This window comes from Homo sapiens, chromosome 10 (assembly GCF_000001405.40).
Source record: "Homo sapiens chromosome 10, GRCh38.p14 Primary Assembly".
In the NCBI taxonomy this organism is placed as follows: Eukaryota; Metazoa; Chordata; class Mammalia; order Primates; family Hominidae; genus Homo; species Homo sapiens.
In genome coordinates, this window is record NC_000010.11 from 85,473,614 (window position 1) to 85,493,673 (window position 20,060).

At 34.1% G+C, this 20,060-nt stretch overlaps 1 long non-coding RNA gene across 1 annotated transcript in view, besides 1 other annotated feature; it reads left to right on the forward strand.

The window, feature by feature from the left end:
- LINC01520 (long intergenic non-protein coding RNA 1520) overlaps nucleotides 1-18,388 on the forward strand; it is a 42,410-nt gene extending 24,022 nt beyond the window's left edge. The window contains exons 5-6 of the long non-coding RNA NR_120671.1: nucleotides 4,398-4,504; nucleotides 18,212-18,388. This is a non-coding gene — a long non-coding RNA (long intergenic non-protein coding RNA 1520). The remainder of the gene's footprint in view (nucleotides 1-4,397; nucleotides 4,505-18,211) is intronic.
- Nucleotides 18,963-19,772: an enhancer, noted in NCBI's record as "OCT4-NANOG hESC enhancer chr10:87252333-87253142 (GRCh37/hg19 assembly coordinates)". NCBI's record gives its function as "activates a minimal SCP1, AML or CMV promoter by ChIP-STARR-seq in naive H9 embryonic stem cells {active_cell/tissue: H9 hESC(naive)}" and the evidence as "EXISTENCE:reporter gene assay evidence [ECO:0000049][PMID:30033119]".

A 20,060-nucleotide genomic window follows, 5' to 3' on the forward strand; every position in this document is an offset into this window, starting at 1 on the left:
CATGGCCTCCATAATCCAAAACAGCCCACACAAAATGGCTTGGAGTCTCTTTCCATGGACATGAGCAACATATCCTTCATTTTGGAGAAAATAACACAAATGTCACAGACCACTGGATCTCTGAAAACTTCAACCATGTGTCAGGTCTCCATTTTCACTGGGTTTGCTCCCCATTCCCTGGCCTTTGTTTAAATTCTACAGTGGGTACTATAATGACACCCTTGATCAGATAAAAGAAGACAAATTTGAATAAGCTTTAGCAGCAACTTCAAAAGTTACCAATCTCTACAAATGATGCCTATAGATTGATTTAATGCATTTACTGCAAAAGTTACATTTATATAATTTATATAATAAAATATGACTTTTCACTTAGATCAAATGACTGCTTTTCTTCTTTTTTTTTTTTTTTTGAGACAGAGTCTTGCTTTGTCGCCCAGGCTGGAGTGCAGTGGCGCAATCTCGGCTCACAGCAAGCTCCGCCTCCCGGGTTCACACCATTCTCCAGCCTCAGCCTCCCGAGTAGCTGGGACTGCCGGCACCCGCTACCACACCCAGCTAATTTTTTTTGTATTTTTAGTAGAGATGGGGTTTCACTGTGTTAGCCAGGATGAGGATGGTCTCGTTCTCCTGACCTCGTGATCCACCCACCTCGGCCTCCCAAAGTGCTCGGATTATAGGCGTGAGCCACCACGCCCGTCCAAATGACTGCTTTTCTAATTTCACTTATATTTGATTTCAACATTTCTTCTGAATATATGAAGAGTGAGGAAAAGTTGTTAACAAGTTGATTTAAATATCAGAAGGAAGATTTTACAAATAGTTAAATGAAGTGAGACTTTTATAAGTTCTATCAGATGCTTCAAACAAAAAATTGAGGTAACTCCAATAACAGGTCAGATTTTAGTCCACTTAGAGAATCTAAATAAAGTGGTTATAAGTTCCTTTTATTGAAGGAGAAACATATGATGTTATTGTAAATACAATTTTAAGTTCAGCTAAAAAATTCAATTTTGAGAATTAATTTGTTGGGCAGTAAAAATACAAATGAAAATTTTAGTGAAGCACAGCCTTATATTCTTTTGCAAAAAGAACAATTTTACTAAATTAATGGACCTATGTAATAAAAATGTACTTGGAATTGTTTATAGTACACACATAATTTCTAATTGCTCTCAAACAAGCATCAGTATTCTAAAGATGCAAATACAAAGCATAGCCAAAATATATCGATATGTGCATATATACAGAGAAACTGAATGACAATTAGCCTGACAAAAATACTGACTACAAAAATTCAGCTATGGCAGCACATTCTTTCACTCTGTGTTGCTTGATATCAGTCAAATTTTAGAAATGTATAAGCCTTTGAAGAAGTACTTTGTAAAACAACTTAAATGTCCTACAAAGGTATTGGACATTGTTCAGATAAGTTTTCTAAATCTTTCATGCGTTTTATTAAAAATCAGCTGTAAATCATTAGGCAGCATATTCAATAAATAGAGGGCAAAAGAATCAACTTTTGCACTTTCAAAAATTTGAAACTTTTGAAAGCAAAGCTTACAAACAGAAAGACATTTAAATTTAATTCTTCAAAAGAAAAAATGAAACAAAAAATTAAGCAAGAAGAATTCAAATAGTGTTCAAGATTTTTAAAAATTCTATAATTATGCTTTCAAATATCTCAGTTGTGGGGATAATTTTTTTAGTAAAGATTCTATTTTTATTTCAATAGGTTGATATTCAGCAACAGAGCAGAATGAAATCGAGATGACCTCTGGCTTTACAGCATCTGAATTTGATAAAACAGTCAAAAGAATTATAATTGCAAATAACCTATTTGATGAGATTTTGGTTACAAAACTATTTTTCAAAGAAAAGTACACTTGACAGAGGCCAAATAACAGTCCTTTGAAAATATATTATCTAAAATAGATACCAAATTTGATACAAAAATAGAATTATGACTAACCTCCATTTAGCAGTATTTTCTCTGAAATTATAAAGTTTCTCACCACTTGTAAAGAGAGAGTACTTTTTCATTTAAAAAAATTATGGTCTATAAAGAAAGATTAATTGAAAATGTCAACAGTTTGAAATGTTTTACTTATAAAAGGCAACTTTGAAAACTTTCTAGACATTTTATTATTAAAATATTTAATAAGTACATATTAAAAATAAAATCTTCTGAAAAATACCTATGACACAGGTAAGCTACAAAATTCATGAGGATACAAGAGTATTTGTCAAGAATAAAATTTTTTTGTTTCTTGTAATTTTAGATAATCAATAAAAAGTTTATTTTATGTTGCTTTAATGTATACAAAAACACATTATTAAGTTTTAGAAAAAGTTACAGAAAATCATTATAAAGACTCATTTTACACATCTACCAATACAATAAATTCAATTTATTAATCAATCGATAAATATTTCAAAATGATATAATTTTAATTCCATAAATTATATGGTCAGCCTATCACCTTCCTTAACCCTGACCCATTTATGCCTAATTCCTGACCTAGAGCTAGCAATCACAGGGTGCCAAAAATGGATCACCATGTTATCTCTAATGCCCACTAAACAAATATAAATAAATACACATTATGAGGAATAATATAACTTGGAGGTTAAGAGAATGGATTCTGGAGCCATATGAGGTCTGTGGTTCCAGAATTGCTATTCTGTAGCTGCCTGACCTTGCTTTAATTTCTTCATCTGTAAATGAAAATGATAGTCATAGCCTTGTCATGGCAATCAAATGAGTCAATATATGTACTTACAGCAGTGTAGACCTAATAAGAACATAATTATATCTTTTTTAATCTTATTTTTGCAATCTAAGTAGTAGTGAATTATTACAACTTCACTAGAATTCTGTTATCCACAATTTTCCTTCCATTTTCATTGATGTCCCCAAGTCCCTTGTTCTGAGCAACTTGAATTCCACTACCTACCTTCCCTTCTCTGTATCCCTATCCTTATTTCCATTCATACTGTATCTAATTCCTTTCATATTTCAGCCTGTCTTGTGGCAAACCAATCTTAAGTCCTGACTTTCTCTTTGCTCAATTTGCCAAACATAGCACATCAGCAGTAAGGACATTTCTGAATGCAATTCATCAACAGATTAGGTGGTGTTGCGATAAATCAAAATTTCCAGATTAGATTTCCAGAGCCTCAAAGGGAAACTCGGACGGGTTTCTCTTGCCACTGGTCCCTAAGGTAGAACACAATAGATTTATGGATGGTGTCATCTTCAACATGTCCACCAGATTACAGTCCAGTAGTTCTCTTGTTTGGCTTGAATCCATTGGCTGTACTAATTACTGAGATGGCTTTATGTGTGATCATGCCAAACAGCATCTTTGTTTGGATTTAGAGTTCTAGCAAAAAGGAAGCAAGAATGGCTTCTAGCCCAGAGATGATTTGCAAAAATACAAAGCAACCAAAAGGAGCAGAAAAATGACTCGCCAGAAATTTCAAACAAATGCTTCCCTCTAATAACATTTACTGGTGAAACAAACACAGAATAGGATGACAGTGCTTGGCTTGTAGGCAAAATTTTGGCTTAGTGTTTTTAGCCAAATTTCCATGTAACTTAAAGAGCTTAAGTTTTCCTGGGTGCCAAAAAGTGAAATCTCATCCACATTCCAAATCCTAGGGGCCTCTGGATAAAGGTAATTGAATCATAAATGACACGTAATTTCATGAAGATAAAGTCTGAATGAAGCAGAGATTGTTTCCTCCAAAAAACGAATTATGAGAAATACAATAACAAATTCTTTCTCCTCTCTTCCCACATGTTTCTGCCATGCTTGTTTTATCTGTGTTCAATATATTTACCTGATAGCTAATTGGCATCCTTCTCCTCTTCTCCTCCTTATGCTAGATCCGCACTCCGTATTGGGAATGAACCACCTACTTCTCCTACTGCTTGGCTTGATACTATGACTCTGTGATCTTCCCCCAACCACAGACATTGGTCATATTACCTCTCAGTTCCAGATATGATGCTACAACTCTTTTTTTTCCACATTTGTGCATCCACCCAACTCTCTCCATGACACCAAAGTAGGGAAAACATCCTCCTATCCTGTAGAGTCTTCCTTGTGAAGAAGGCTCTCATTAGGCCATAAATGGGGCTACCATGTACTTCATCGAATCTAATCTTTTGGGCTCAATCTCCATTACACTCAGCAAACTAGACTAAAAATTTCCCCTTTCCTCCAATAATCAACCATTGTCCTAGTACCAAGCTTACATGCAATATCTCCATCTTGCTTTGACCATGCATTCCACAATAATTTCCTGAGAACTTACCTTGTGCCCTGCCCTGAGTTACAAGCTGAATGCAGATATAAAAGTTTCTGACCTTGTTTGTATTTGTTTTCTAGGCTACTATTAAAAAAAAAAAAGTACCACAAACCAGATGGCTTAAAGCAACAGAAATTTGTGACTCACAGTTCTGGAGGCCAGAAATTCAAAATCAAGGTGTCAGCAGGTTAGTTCTTTCTGAAAGCCCTGAGAGAGCACCTCTTTCATGTCTCTCATGTAGCTCCTGAGAGTTGCTAGCTAATTATATCTGCAAAAATCCTTTTCAAAATAAGATCACATTCAGAGGTTCTGGGTGGACATGTGTCACACCATTCAACCCGGTACACTTTTCTTAAGAAATTCATAGTCTAGTGGTAGATAGAGATAATTAAAGAATAAACTACCACCCAGTTTAATGTGAGGTTTGAGAATGATAAGCTACTATGCTATAGAAGTACAAAGGAGAAACATCTAACTAGCTTGGGATTAGGAAAAATCTCTCCTATGGATTCTATGTCCTTCAATGAGGGTAGAAGGATAAATAAAAATCAGGTAGGGCAGGAGGATATAGAAAGGTTACCAGGATGTATTAATCCCCCAACAGGTGTTGGAGACCATGAATCTAAAGTAGCACCCATTTCTAGGTTTGTCTTATGTTCTCTAGATATACCAAGCAGTCACAATGCAAGAGAAAAGGAAGGCATATATTTGTATTTACCCAAGCTCATGGTATTAGGGAGGGGAAGAGAGAGAAGGAGATGAGGCTATTGGTGAGAATATAGAAAAAGAAGTGAACCTGAGAAGACATCGATAGATAGAACAGCATGGAAAATTGAGGGTCTTCTGCCTTATTAAACTGAAAGATGAGGTGAGGCATCTAGATGGCAGAAGACATAGAACTTCATGTTCAGAGCGTAGTAAGTTCCAGAAGTAGAAAGATCCTAGGTGTCAGGAAGTTGGATGGATATTTCTGCATGTGACCTAAAGTAAAATCAGGTCTTAGGGTAGGGTAGAAGGCTAGACTAGGTGCCCAAATTGCTTGAATTGTAATATGTGACCAAACGAATAGTAGAAAGGGAGAATTAGAAAGTTTTATGGTTGGATGTCATCAGCTTTGATAACCATTATAGTTGCTAATATTTATTAAGTGTCTTCTAAGAGCCAGGTATGGATATATATGTTAATTTAATTTTTGAAATATCTATATGGGTATATGCATATCTACCATTATTTACTTCAATTTACTGGTGAGCACTATAAGAATGAGTCAAATAACTGTTCAGTAAGTGGTATAGCAGCATTTTATTCAGGCCATCCAACCCCTGGTGGTTTTGCACACTTAATTACTACCTAAGATGAGGGGTATGGTTTATTTGGGTTCAGAGAAATAATTTGGAATGGGCAGTGAGGGCTTCCTACCTCGGAATGAGCATCTGCTGATGAAGACTGCCATAAATCATCATCAGCAGGGTATGTGGAACGTTAGTTTTATCACATAGAGGCAAGACTCAGTGAGGACTTTGATGATGGGCATGTGCTGGTTTAACATATAGCAAGACCTTAAAGGCTCCAGTGCTAGAGGAAGCGCAACAGTGTGAAGGTGGATTTTGGAAGCAGAAACTCTAAAACAATATGGAGTTAAGAGAAGATGTGCATTTTATTATAGAATAAAAAGTTGCAAGAATATGAGGCAGAAAATTTTGGCTAGTTCTAGGATTTCACAAAAGAATCTGGATAGAGCTGTTTACCACCATGATGGATTATAACCCAGTGAGCTATCAGAGGCTTGGTGATGCCACTAGACAAGGCATCATGTTGAGCATCTTTGCACAATGCACAATCTTTATGCTGCCAGGTTCACCGTGATATATTTATATTTATAATAAATTTTATCTTAGATTCTCTCTGGGCTACAGATCAAAATTTTAAAAAGGTAAGTCTCTACTCCATTTCGAGGCTGCTTGTTGACTGGTCTGGTCATTCTTTGTCTTTGTCATTGGGTGATCAGCTAAGTTTGGTGGTGGAAAACATACACCAGGCTTGCAGGTAGCTGAGGCTTGCTGGGGCCAGGGATTATCCTCCAAGCTGCCATTCTGAGCATGGCAACCCAGATCTTATTCATTCAACAGATGCAGTGCTGCAGATTCTGTGTGAATTCAAAGAAAGGAGGACTCAAACAAGAGGTAATAGACTTGTGGGATTTCAGATATTGATCACATCCTTGTCCAAGTGGAGAAAAATTTTCTACATCAGATCCCAGTGAATGAGCTCATCATAATACTGTGAAATCAAGACTTCCAAATCCGTTAAACCGGAAAACCTCAAATCTAAACAGACATTCAAAGCCACTCAAGACGCAGACAAAAGCACTATCTGCCGGAGTATACAGGCTACCAACTTGATAACAATTATGCATCCATACATATACACGTGCACATATGTGCATGAGTGTGCACACATACACACACATAAGAAAAGTGATTCATCTGGTCTAATGCAGGAGAAGGAAAACCCTTAGCATGATGCTAAATACAGAAGTAATAATAAAGTTAGAAAATCCCCACTTGTACTACAACTAGTGAATGAATATTTCATGGGGAAAAGGATACTTACATAGTCTCAAAGTTTCTTCCCACAATTTATTTTTTTACAAAAGGGAAAAAAATAATAATTTCACAATTGAGAAACCTGGTGAATTACCATGTTAAACAAGTGATTAAAGTTAATATAACTAATATTGGGTAATCTAGAATCATATGATATTTGATATAAATGCATTGAGAAGTATACAATATTGCTCCTGTTCCACAAGTGACAAGTAATAATAAAAGCATAAATAAATAAAATGAGAAGACATCAGACAAACACAAATTGATGGACATTCTAACACTGTGCCTGCAGTGTTAGAATATTCATATTAAAGGAGACTGAAGATTCATGACAATTAAATGCAATGCTTTTAATATTGGATTACTAAACTGAGAAAATAACTATACAAAGGACATTATGGGGAAAATGGGCAAGTCACTTAACCATTCTGTGTCTCATTTTTCTAAACTGACAAAGGGGGCTAAACCTATTCATCTCCAAAAGTTATTAGTGCATGAAATGAGATATCTTTGTGAAGTATGTAGCACAGTTCTGAGCATAATAAATATCTAATATATACTCACTGATAGCTTTCTTATTCACCATAGTCCCCTTTCTCCACTCCGTTATTTATTCTTACTTTGTAGTTGGGCTGATTCTGACAATGTTATTTATTTTTGCCACCTAATTGTAGCCTTTTGGGTAACTTTTGCAACTGCCCAATGCCAAGTTGTAATAAGTCAGCTTCTGGCCTTTGCTTTCTCTTCTACCTGCTTATAGTGTCTGTGTGTGAGTGCGTCTGAGGGTCTGAGCCTTCTCTCCTGATATTACCTACATTTGTTCTCAAATGTCACTGTCTGAGTAATACTTTCCCTGACTATCTGCCAGAGTATGATGACTACATTTACATGGAAATCTACATTTACATGGAAATCTACAACTACTCAGCAATTTCTAACCTCCTTCATTTTTCCTTATAATATGCATACTTTAACATACAACAGGCATTTACTTGATTGTTTTACTTGGTTATTTTCTGTCTTCCCCTCATTGGAATGTAACCTCCAGGAGGGCAGGATATTTTGGCTGTTCTTATTTGATATATCTCAAGCATCTGGAACAGAATTGACACTTCAAAGATGCCTGTTGAAGGGATCATAAAGGCATTTATGAAAGGCATTCATAAATACTTGTCAATGAATGAGTTTTTCTCATTTACCTGGGAGGTGCCTTCTCCTTTCTTAGATGAGGTGTGCATATGACACACATGGCAGCCACTGTGTGCCAAAGTGGGAATTTATGGCCATTATTTAGGTTAATTAGTATTTCTCAAACTGAGTTTCACAAAGAAGAACTCAGAAGTTTATGAATTCATGTAGAACTAAAAAGATGAATTCTCTAAGATTGTATTGGAGTAATTATAGAAATGAGAGTGAAAATTTGGGACATGTGAAATATAAGGAAATGAAACTTATCCAGAGAGTTTCTTGCCAAAAAAAAAAGATTAGATTACCTTGTTACACAGAAAAATGGGGCCACATGACAGAGTCCCCATTCAGAAACTAGGAATAAAAGGAAAACAGAAATAAAGGTATTTTAAGTGAATGTGAGGAGAAGTAAGTGTCCAATTATACCTAATAATTTAGGGTGTCACCATAACAAGTTTCTAAATATTTCAAAAATTACACTATATTGAATGTATACTTTTAAAGAAAAGTATGAATTAACTTTTTTCATGCCAAGAAAATGCTCATTCACAATTATAAAATTAAACTCAAAAAAGCATATTTTGGTAAGGACAGTTAACATGAGATCTATCTGGTTAACAATATTTTAAGTGTCTAATGAATTATTTTTTACTATAGGGACAATGTTGTGCAGCAGCTCTCCAGAGCTTATTTATCTTGCTTAACTAAAACTTTATACCCATTGATTAGAAACTCCCTATTAACTCTTCCCCCAGTTCCTGGCAATGACCACCACTCCCTGATTCTATTAATTTGACTATTTTAGATACCTCAGAGTAGGGTAATCACACAATATATGTCTTTCTGTGGCTGACTTATTTCACTTATCATTATGTTCTCAAAGTTCATCCATGTTGTTGCATATTGCAGAATTTCCTTTTTTAAAGGCTGAATGGTACTGTATTTTATGTATATAACACATTTTCTTTACTCACTTATTTGTCAACAGACAATAAAGTTTCACAACTTCATTGTAAATAAATATGCAATAAATATGAGTGCTAATATCTCTTCAAGACACTAATTTCAATTATTTGGACAGATACCCAGAAATGAAACTGTTGTATTATATAGTAGTTCTATTTTTTAGTTTTTCCATAAACCTCCATACTGTTTTATGTAGTAGCTGTACTAATTTACATTCCCGCCAATTGTGTGCAAGTGTTTCCGATTCTCTGTGTCCTTACCGGCATCTATTGTTTTTTGTCTTTTTAATAATAGCCATTCTTTGATAATAGCTATCCTGACAGTTATGAGGTGATACCTCATTGCAGCTTGGATTTGCATTTTCCTGATAATTAGTGATGTTGAGCATCCTTCATATATCTGTTGGGCAGTTGTATATCTTCTTGGGGTAAGTTCATAGCCCATTGTTTAACCTGGTTATACCTGTTACTTTACTATTGAGTTCCAGGAGTTTCTTATATATTTTGGATAATAAATCATTATCGGAAATATGATTTGCAATTTTTTCCCATTCTGTGGGTGTTCTTTTCATTCCATTTATTGATTTATTTTCTCTAGGGAAGCTTTTTAGTTTGACATAGCCCCACTTATTTATTTTTGGTTTTGTTCTTTGTCTTTTATTGTATTATTCGTGAAATAATTGCTGAGACCAATGACATGAAGTTTTTTCCCTATACTTTCTTATAGTATCATTATAGTTTCAGGTGTTATGTTTGAGTTTTTAATCCATTTTGAATTGATTTTCTTGTGTGTATGATGTAAAATAAGATTCAATTCCATTCTTTTGCATGTGGAAATCCAGTTTTCCCAGTGTCTTTTGTTGAAGAGACTGTCCTTTCTCCATTGTATATTCTTGGCAGCCTTGTCAAAGATCAGTCGATTGTATGCATGGATTTATATCTGGGGCCTCTATTTTATTCTTTGTTTTATATGTCTGTGCTTATGCCAGTAGCATACGCTTTGGTTACTGTTGCTTTGTAGTTTATTTTTTAAAATCAGGCCATGTGTTGTCTTCTACTTTGGTATTTCTCAAGATTCATTGGCTATTTATGCTCTTTAAGGATGCCATATTAATTGTAAAACTTTTTTAAATGTCTATAAAACAGTCACTGGGATTCTGATAGCAATTGCATTAAATCTGTAGATTGCTTTAGTGAATATGAATATTTTTACAATATTAAGTCTTTTAGTTCATAAAACTTTATTCCTAGGCATTTAATTCTTTTGAAGCTATTGTAATAGGACTTTTTCTTAATTTCCTTTTCAGATAGTTCATTGTTAGTGTATAAAGACACACAAAAAGTTGTTTGTTGATTTTGTATTCCGCAACTTTATCGAATTCTTCATAAGCTCTGACATTTTTTGTGGAATATATATATATATATAGTATATATATATTATATATATACACACATATATATATATATATACTATATATACATATAAAATTATCTGCAAGTATGGACAATTTCACTTCTTCCTTTTCAATTAGAATGTCTCTTAAATTTTTTCTTGTCTAATTGCCCTGGCAAAGACTTCCAGTACTATGTTGAATTGATATGGCAAGAGTGAATATCCTCTCCTTGTGGCTGATTTTGGAGCAAAGGCTTTTAGTCTTTCACTGTTGAGCATTATATTAATTGTGAACTCTTCATATATGACCTTCATTACTTTAAGGTTTTTCCTTCTATGCCTAATTATTACAAGTTTTTTTAATAATGAAAGGATATTAAATTTTGTCAAATGACAAAATACATTTTTCTGCATTTATTGATATAATCATGTGACTTTTATCTTTTATTCTGTTATCTTAGTTAGTCTACCTAATAGTTTGTCAATTTTGTCTTTAAAAAAACTCTTAGTTTCATTTACTTTTAAATTGTTTTTCTTTTTTAGACATTTTTATTTGTTCACATCTATGGTTTTCTTTTCTATTTTCTATTTTATTTATTTTTACTGTAAATTTTGTTATTTCTTATAATAGCATAAGAAGTATGAAACTCATTAATAGTGAATATATTAACAAACATGGAATACTTTCTACTATAATGGTGGTGGTTAAATAACTTTTAATTATATTATTAAAGTTAAAAGACAAAAGTATTACAAATAAGCATAACTATAAATATGTTAAAAGACACACAATATAAGTAGATGTAAATTATAACAATAATAACATAAACAGTGAGAAGAAGAGAAGTTAAAGTGTAGTCTTTGCATGTGACTGAATTTAAGTTGTTGTCAGCTTCAAACAGTCTGTTACAAATATGCCATTTTATATAATCCCCAAAGTAACTGCACACACAAAAATACCTATAGATGTTACACACAAGAAAAAGAGAAAAGAATCAAAGTATAACAATATGTAAATGAACAAAACACAAAGATGACAGTGAGAGGAAAAGGCAGGCAAAAGAACTATTTGACTAATGGAAAACAGCTAACAAAATGACAATGGTAAATTCTTCTCTATTGATAATTACTTTAAATGTTAATGGTTTGAACTACTTAATCAAAAGGTATAGAATGGATAAATAAATTAATAAACAAGACCCAACTATATGCTGCCTACAAAAGACTTACTTCACTAAGGACATGCATAAACTAAAAGTAAATAGATGAAAAAAGATGTCCCATGCAAATGAAAACCAAAATAGAAGAGGGGCAGCCATACTTAGATAAAATAATCTGTTTGTTAAAAATTGTGACAAAAGAAAAGAATGTTATTATATGTTGGTAAAGAGGTCAATTCATCAAATGTTTATACAAACATTTGTCTGTCTATCTATCATCTATATTTATCTATCTATCTATCTATCTATCTATCTATCTATCTGCAACCAACTTTGGAGAATCTAAACATATAAAGCAAATATTAACAGATCTGAAGGGAGAAATAGATAGCAATAGAGTAATAGTAGATGACTTCAATGCCTCACTTTAAATAATGGAAATATTATACAGATAGAAAATAAAGAAACAATGGACTTGTAATATACCTTAGAACAAATACACCTGACAGACATAAAATAAGTCTTCACTCCACATCAACTTTAAGTAAAATTACATGCAGTATGCTATAGGAACTTGACTTTTTTAATATTAATTAGCTTAGGGTAAAATTGATTTCATTATACAATCCACTGTTTTACTTAAAATCAGTTTCCAAGAACCTATCGATAACTTGGAATGAGGACTTAACTCTATACAGAAAATTTCTTTCAATAGCAGCAGAGTAAACATTCTTTTCAAGCATACGTGAAACATTTTCCAGGATAGATCATATGTTAGGTCAGAAAACAAGTCTTAACAAATTTAAGAAGATTGAAATCATATGAAGCATTTTTTCTGAGCACAATGGTATGAAACTAGAAATAAATGACAGCAAGGACAAAGCCAGAAAAATTACAAATATGTGGAAATTAAACAACACCCTGCTGAACAACAAATAACTCAAATAAGAAATTAAAAGCAAAATAAGAAAATATCTTGAGACAAATAAAAATGGAAACAAAATATATGAGATATACAGCAAAAGCAGGTTTTTTTTCAACTTTTATTTTAGAATCAGGGTACACGTGCAGATTTGTTACAAAGGTATAATTCATGATGCTGAGGCTCAGAGTATGATTGAATCCATCACCCAGGTAGTAAGCATAGTACCCAAGAAGTCGTTTTTCACCTTTTGCTCCCTTCCCTGTCTCCACCTCTAGCAGGCCCTTCTATTGTTCACATCATTATGTCCATGTGTACCCAAAGTTTAGCTCCCACCTATAAGTGAGAGCATGTGGTATTTGGTTTTCTGTTTCTATGTTAGTTCACTTAGAATAATGACTTCCAGCTACATCCATGTTGCTGCAAAGGACAAGGTTTTGTTCTTTTTTATGGCTGCATAGTATTCCCTGGCGTATATATACAGCATTTTCTTTATCCAGTCCATTTTTTATTTTTTATTTTTTTGAGACGGAGTCCCGCTCTGTCGCCCAGGCTGGAGTGAGTGCAGTGGCGCTATCTCTGCTCACTGCAAGCTCCGCCTCCCAGGTTCAGCCATTCTCCCGCCTCAGCCTCCTGAGTAGCTGGGACTACAGGCGCCTGCCACTGCGCCTGGCTAATTTTTTGTATTTTTAGTAGAGACGGGGTTTCACCGTGTTAGCCAGGATGGTCTCGATCTCCTGACCTCGTGATCCGCCCGCGTCAGCCTCCCAAAGTGCTGGGATTACAGACTTGAGCCACTGCGCCCGGCCTATCCAGTCCACTATTGATAGGCACCTGGGTTGATTCCATGTTTTAGCCATTGTGAATAGTGCTGTAATAAACACAAAGGTGCATGTGTCCTTTAGGTAAAACAATTTATTTTTCTTTGAATTTATACCCCGTAATGGGATTGCTGGATCAGATCGTAGTTCAACTCTTAGTTCTGTGAGAAATCTTCAAACTGTTCTCCACAATAGCCAGATTAATTTACATTTCCACTAACAGCGTGTAAGTGTCTCCTTTACTCCATAACCTCATTAACATCTGTTATTTTTTTTACTTTGTAACAAAAGCCATTCTGATTTGTGTAAGATATTATCTCATTATGGTTTTGATTTGCATTTATCTGATAATTAGTGACGATGAACATTTTTTTCATATCTTTGTTTGCCACTTCTATATCTTCTTTCAAGAAATATCTGTTCATATAGTTTGCCTAAATTTTAATAGGGCTATTTGTTTTAACAAAAGCCATTTTCAAAGGAAAGTGTATAATAACGAATGTCTACATTATAAAAAAGTAAGATGTCAAATACACAAGCTAAATTTAACTTCAAAAAAGTAGAAATAGAACACACTAAGCCCAAAATTAGTAAAAGGAAGGAAATAACAATCATAGAAGAAATAAATGAAAGAGAGACTAGAAAAACAACAGAAAAAAATATGTAAAAAGAAGAGCTGGTTTTTTGAAAATGTAAACAAAACTGATCAACTCTTAGCTAAATAGAAAAAAAGATATAAAACATTCAAATAAACAAAATCAGGAATGAAAGAGGAGATATTACAATTGATGCCACAGAAATACAAAGGATCCTAAGAGACTACTTATGAGTAATTATAAGTCAACAAATTGAATAACCTGAAAAGAAATGTATAATTTCCTACATACATGCAACCCAAGTTTAAATCATGAAGGCATAGATGTCTGAAGAGATTAATAATGAGTAAAAAGATTGAATAAGTAATGAAAAATCTCCCAACAAAGAAAAATTCAGGACTAGATGCCTTCGCTAGTAAATTTTACCAAACATTTAAAGAAAAATTAACACCAATCCTTTCCAAACTTCTCCAAAAAACTGAAGAGGAGGGAACACTTCAAATTTTATTTCATTAGGCCAGCATTACAGTAATACCAAAGCCAGACAAGAATACTATAAGAGAAGAAAATTATAGGCCGATATTCTTAATGAGCATAAATGCAAAAAATCCTCAACAAAATACTAGTAACTGAATTCAAGGTATATTAAAAGGATCTTACACCATGATCAAGTGGGATTTCTCTCTGGGATGTAATAATGGTTCAATATATGCAAATCACTAATCTTGATACATTGTATTAACAAAATGAAGGAAAAAATAAATATAATAATCTCAATAGATGCAGAAAAAACATTTGACAAATTCAACATCCTTTCACGATAAAAGCTCTCAACAAATTAAGTATAGAAGTAAATTACCTCAACTTCAACATAGTAAAGGCCATATGTGACACTCCACGCAGTTACCATATTCAATGGTGACAAGCTGAAAGATTTTCATGTAAGATCAAGAACAAAACAAGGGTGTCTACTTTCACCACATCTATTCAACATAGCACTGGAAGTCCTAACTAGGGTAATGGGGCAAAAAAGAAATAAAAGGCATCCAAATAAGAAAGGAAGAAATAAAATTGCCCTTGTTAGCAAATGACATTATCATATGTACAGAAAACTCCAGATTCCATTTTTTAAAAAACTGTAAAAACTAACACATGGATTCAGTAAGCTTGCATGATAACAAATCAACCAGCAAAAATAGTTGTATTTATACATACTAAAAACAAACTACTCCCCCCACCAAAAAATTAAGAAAACAGTCACGTTTACAATTACATCAAAAAGCATAAAATACTTAGGAATAAATCTAACTTAGGAGGTGAAAGATCTTACACTGAAAAATATGAAACATTATTGAAAAAAATTGAAGGCACAAATGAATGAAAAGTTATTTTGTGCTTATGAATTAAGAAGAATTAATATTCCTAAAAGTTATTACCACCAAAGCAATCTACAGAGTCAATGAAATCCATGTCAAATTACAATGGCATTTTTCATATAAATAGAAAAACAATCCTAAAATTCACCTGGAACCACTAAAGATCCCAAATAGCTAAAGCAATCTTGAGCAAGAAGAATGGAGCAGGAGGCATTACATGTCCTGATTTCAAAATATGATACATAGCTATAGTAATCAAAACACTATGGTTCTGGCACAAAAACAGACACATAGAGCAATGGAATAGAATCCTCTTGACATACATAGTCAATTAATTTTTAACAAAGGTGCCAAGCATACACAATGGAGAAAGGATAATCTTCAATCAATAATATTGGAAAAACTGGATATCCACATACAAAAGAATAAAATTAGACCCTACTTTACAATATACATAAAAAATTACTCAAAATTGATTAAAGACTTAAATGAAAGACTTGAAACTGTAAAACTCTTAGGAGAAAACTCCTTTACGTTGGTCTTGACAATAGTTTTTTAAATTTGATTCCAAAAGCACAGACAGCAGAAGCATAAGTGAACAAGTGGGGCTACATCAAACTAAAAAGGTTTTGCATAGTAAAGCAAACAACTAACAAAATGAACAGCCAACCCTTGGAATGAGATAACATATTTGTAAACCATATTTGATAAGGGCTTAATATCCAAAATATATAAGGTACTCATACATCTCCGTATCTATAAATGTATAAAACTGGATTAAAGAACAATTAATGAACCTTAATAGACCTTTTTTTTTCCAAAGGAAACTTACAAATGGCCAATAGGTGTATGAAAAGATGCTCAACATCATTAATCATCAGGAAAATCTAAATTAAAATCACAATGCGATATCACCCCACCTGTTAGAATTGCTCTTATCAAGAACAGAAAAAGAGGTTGGAGGAAGGAAAAAAAGGGGGTATAAGAATAGCCACCATTGATTTTGACCCTTTGGTCAAAAGATACAAACTTTCTTTTATAAGATGAATAAGTATTGGATATCTAATGTATAGCATGGTGACTATAGCTAACAATAATGTATCATATACTTGAGCTTTGCTAAGAGTAGAGATCTCAGATATTATCAGCAGAAAAAATAAATATGGTAACTATGTGACATGATGGATATGTTAATTACCTTGACTGTGATAGTTATTTCACAATGTACATATATCAAAATATGTTTTATACCTTAAATATATATAATTTTTGTCCATCTTCCCTCAATAAACCTGAAAAAATACTCTATGCAAAATCAAAAACATACAAAATGGCAAAAGTAAATTATTTTTTATCAATAATTATTTTAAATGTAAATGAATTAAACTCCTCAATCAAAAGACAGACTGAATGGATAAGAAACAAACAAACAAGGCCCTACAAGAAATTCACTTTTGATTTGAAGATGCATATAGGCTGAAAGTGAAGAGATGAAAAAAAGATATTTCATTTGAATGATAACCAAAAAGAACAATGGTGGCTATTCATATGTCAGACAAAAGAGACCTTTGAAACTGTCACAAGAGACAAAGAAGAACATTGTATAATAATAGTAGGGTCAATTTACCAGGAAAACATGGCAATTATAAATATATATGCATCCAACATCAGAGCACCCAAGTATGTAAAGCAAACATTGACAGAACTGAAAGGAGAAATAGGCAGCAATATAATAATAGGAGGCTTCAAAACCCCACTTTCAATAATGAACAGAAATTCCAGACAGAAGATCAACAAGGAAACAGAGGATTTGAATAACTCTATAGACCAAATGGACCTAACAGGCATATACAGAACATTCCACCCAACAGTGGCAGAATACACATCGTTCTCAGGTGCACATAGACCTTTCTCCAGGATAGATCATGTGTTAAGACACAAAACAAGTCTTAACTAACTTAAGAAGATTTAAATTATATCAAGTATCTTTTCTGACCACAATGGAATAAAACTAGAAATCAATAACAGTAGACAAACTAGAAAATTCACAAATAAGTAAAAATTAGACAGTATACTTTTGAACAACTATTGGGTTAAGAAAGAAATAAAAAATAAATTTGAAAATACAGCAACACAAATCAAAATGAAACACAATATATCAAAATTTATGGGATATGACAAAAGTAGTACTATGAGGGACGTTCACAGCAATAAACACTTACATTAATAGAGTAAAAATATCTCAAATAAACAACTAAGTTTCCATTTCAAAGAGGTAGAAAAAGAAGAACAAACTAAGACACAATTAAACTCTGGGAAATTTTTCCCATTGCAGGAAAGTTTATAAATCATAGTCCACATACATCTGGAATCCGCTCACTAGATAAATTGATGTTTTGGTGCTAACACCAAGAACAGTCTATCTTTTTTTTTTTTTTTTTTTTGTATTTTTCTCTTCTATGAGCCTCTAGATAGCAGGAAATCTCCACTATGATGTTTGATTGATATTAGCAATGTAAATCTAGATTATACCTGCACTGTGTTCCAGAAGCAACATTTTTATCAAAAACTAGAGATTTTCTTGTGTTTTCTACACTTTTTGTTATACAAACGCTGATTTTTATGTGATTTTGTGGGATCATCACAAATATGGGGCAAATAAGGGTCTAAAGATGGATAACTCAGCTTCAGAAATGCTAGTATCACACAGTGTTCATTATACCACTTTTCCCAGTGTTTTCTGTTGAACAATATGGATAGACTTAATGTGGAATGAAAACAGAATCGTGGATAAACCGTCTGATAAGGGGAAAATTTGACCTTAAAATTAAATTTAATTAATGGCCCTGTCTAACCCATTTCAGAGTTTCCTGGAGGTGAGAGATTCATATCTGAGCTTTCCACCTCTAATGAGGAGCGGCTTCATGAAGGAACGGACGGGATTGCTCCAGAAGGTCATTGATTTTCAGCCTCTAAAAGGACAACTGTAATCCTGGTTGATCTTAACTCTCAAATTTAATAAAATCAGTTTAAATATTTTAGACAGTGTCAGGGGAGATCCAGTATTTCTGTGTGTTCACTTTGTCCATGGAAAAAGGATTTTATTTTACTACTCAGGAGGAGAAAACATTGTAGTGAAAAATTTCAGCTTGTCTCTGCACTCTTACAAATTTTCTCTTTCCATACTTAGAGTCCAGGATACTCACTAGGTTTGAATGAGCACTTAATTTGCCTCAAAAATGGAATCAGATTTCTCCTTCTCTCACTTCCTGATATCTAGGCCTCTTACAAGGATGTTGGACTCTTTGCTTTCTCAATCCATGCACTAAAACCAGGGCAAGTCTCTGCCCCTCGCACCCCCCTTCATAGGAGAGAGAACTGTTGGCCCTATCTTGGTTTCAGTTACCTAGAACTCCTGTATTTCAAGATTACAGGCACATCCTGGAAACATATTAGTCAGATAGGTATCTGTGCTTTTTGTTTTTACCCATTAGTACTCAAGAGAGAAGGCGGAGTATCTTTGTCACTCCCTCCCAACTTCAACAAAAGCAATTCTATAATTTAAGCTTCCAGAGATTCCAAATAAAAATTAGCTATGCAACAGTATTTTAATATAGAAACACATCCCCATAGAGATGAGCTTTGTCTTCTGTGAAGACATGGAGAGAAAGCAGGGGAGGACCTGAGGAGGGGCTGCTGGAAGGGAAGGAGACGGGTCAGGAAGCCTATTTTTTAGAGAGGGTAGTGCTGCATCATCCCGGCTGGGCCAGCCCTGGAGGGAGGTACGTGGGCTGGCTGTAGAATTAATTGAATTTCACAACTTGCCTCACATTCCTGCTGACACAAAGTGCCTTGTAAGGAGGGAGGCATCACAGGATGCCAACACAATGGCAAGACCAAGGTTGGGCACTGCTGTGAGCCTTTCTTTATACAACTCCTGGCTCAAAATAGCTTGCCTGTTAGCACCCCAGCTGAGAATCCCCACTGGCAAGGGAAGAAGAAGTGTGCCGTCTCTAAGATACAGCTGGCCCTCTGCTCTGAGATGAAGCCCTGGACCTGCAGAAGCCCTTCCCCTCTCAGAGCCCTAGAGGCCTCACCTATATAGAAGGTATTCTGACAACATGAATTTTAAGTTCCTTCCAGCTGTGACACTGCATTCATCTAATGATCTGAGAATCAACTCAAGACCTCTTTTAGCAACAGTTCCCCAGCTTCATTCATGTGCAGAATCAGTGTATACTTAGGACCCAAGCTCCCTGCCTTACTTCTCCCTTAGATATTAACCAAGGGCAGAACAGAGTTTTGCACCAGGCACCCTACAAGTCTTCACAAAGGTCACCATATGCAGTCTTCACAGCAATATTGTAAGGGATTAAGGTTGAGTCTCATTTTTTTAATAAGGAGATAACAGCTTACAGAATTTGGGAGGCTTGACCAATGCCAATAAATTTGTAAACAAAAGAGTTAGAATGTAAGTGTAAACTCTACAACTCCAGTGCAAGAGTCTGTTTCCACAACTCTTCTACTCACATAAACCTGAATTGCTTCTGTGACCCTTCCCTGTCCCGTGGCACTGCCTTTCTCAGTACCTGGCATAACATTGTTACTAAATACATGTTTATTACTGAATGGCTGTCTAAATGAATCTATGATTTATCGGGTTAAATATATTAGAGCATTTGATCAGTAAGCGGAAGCATTATTGCAAATAAC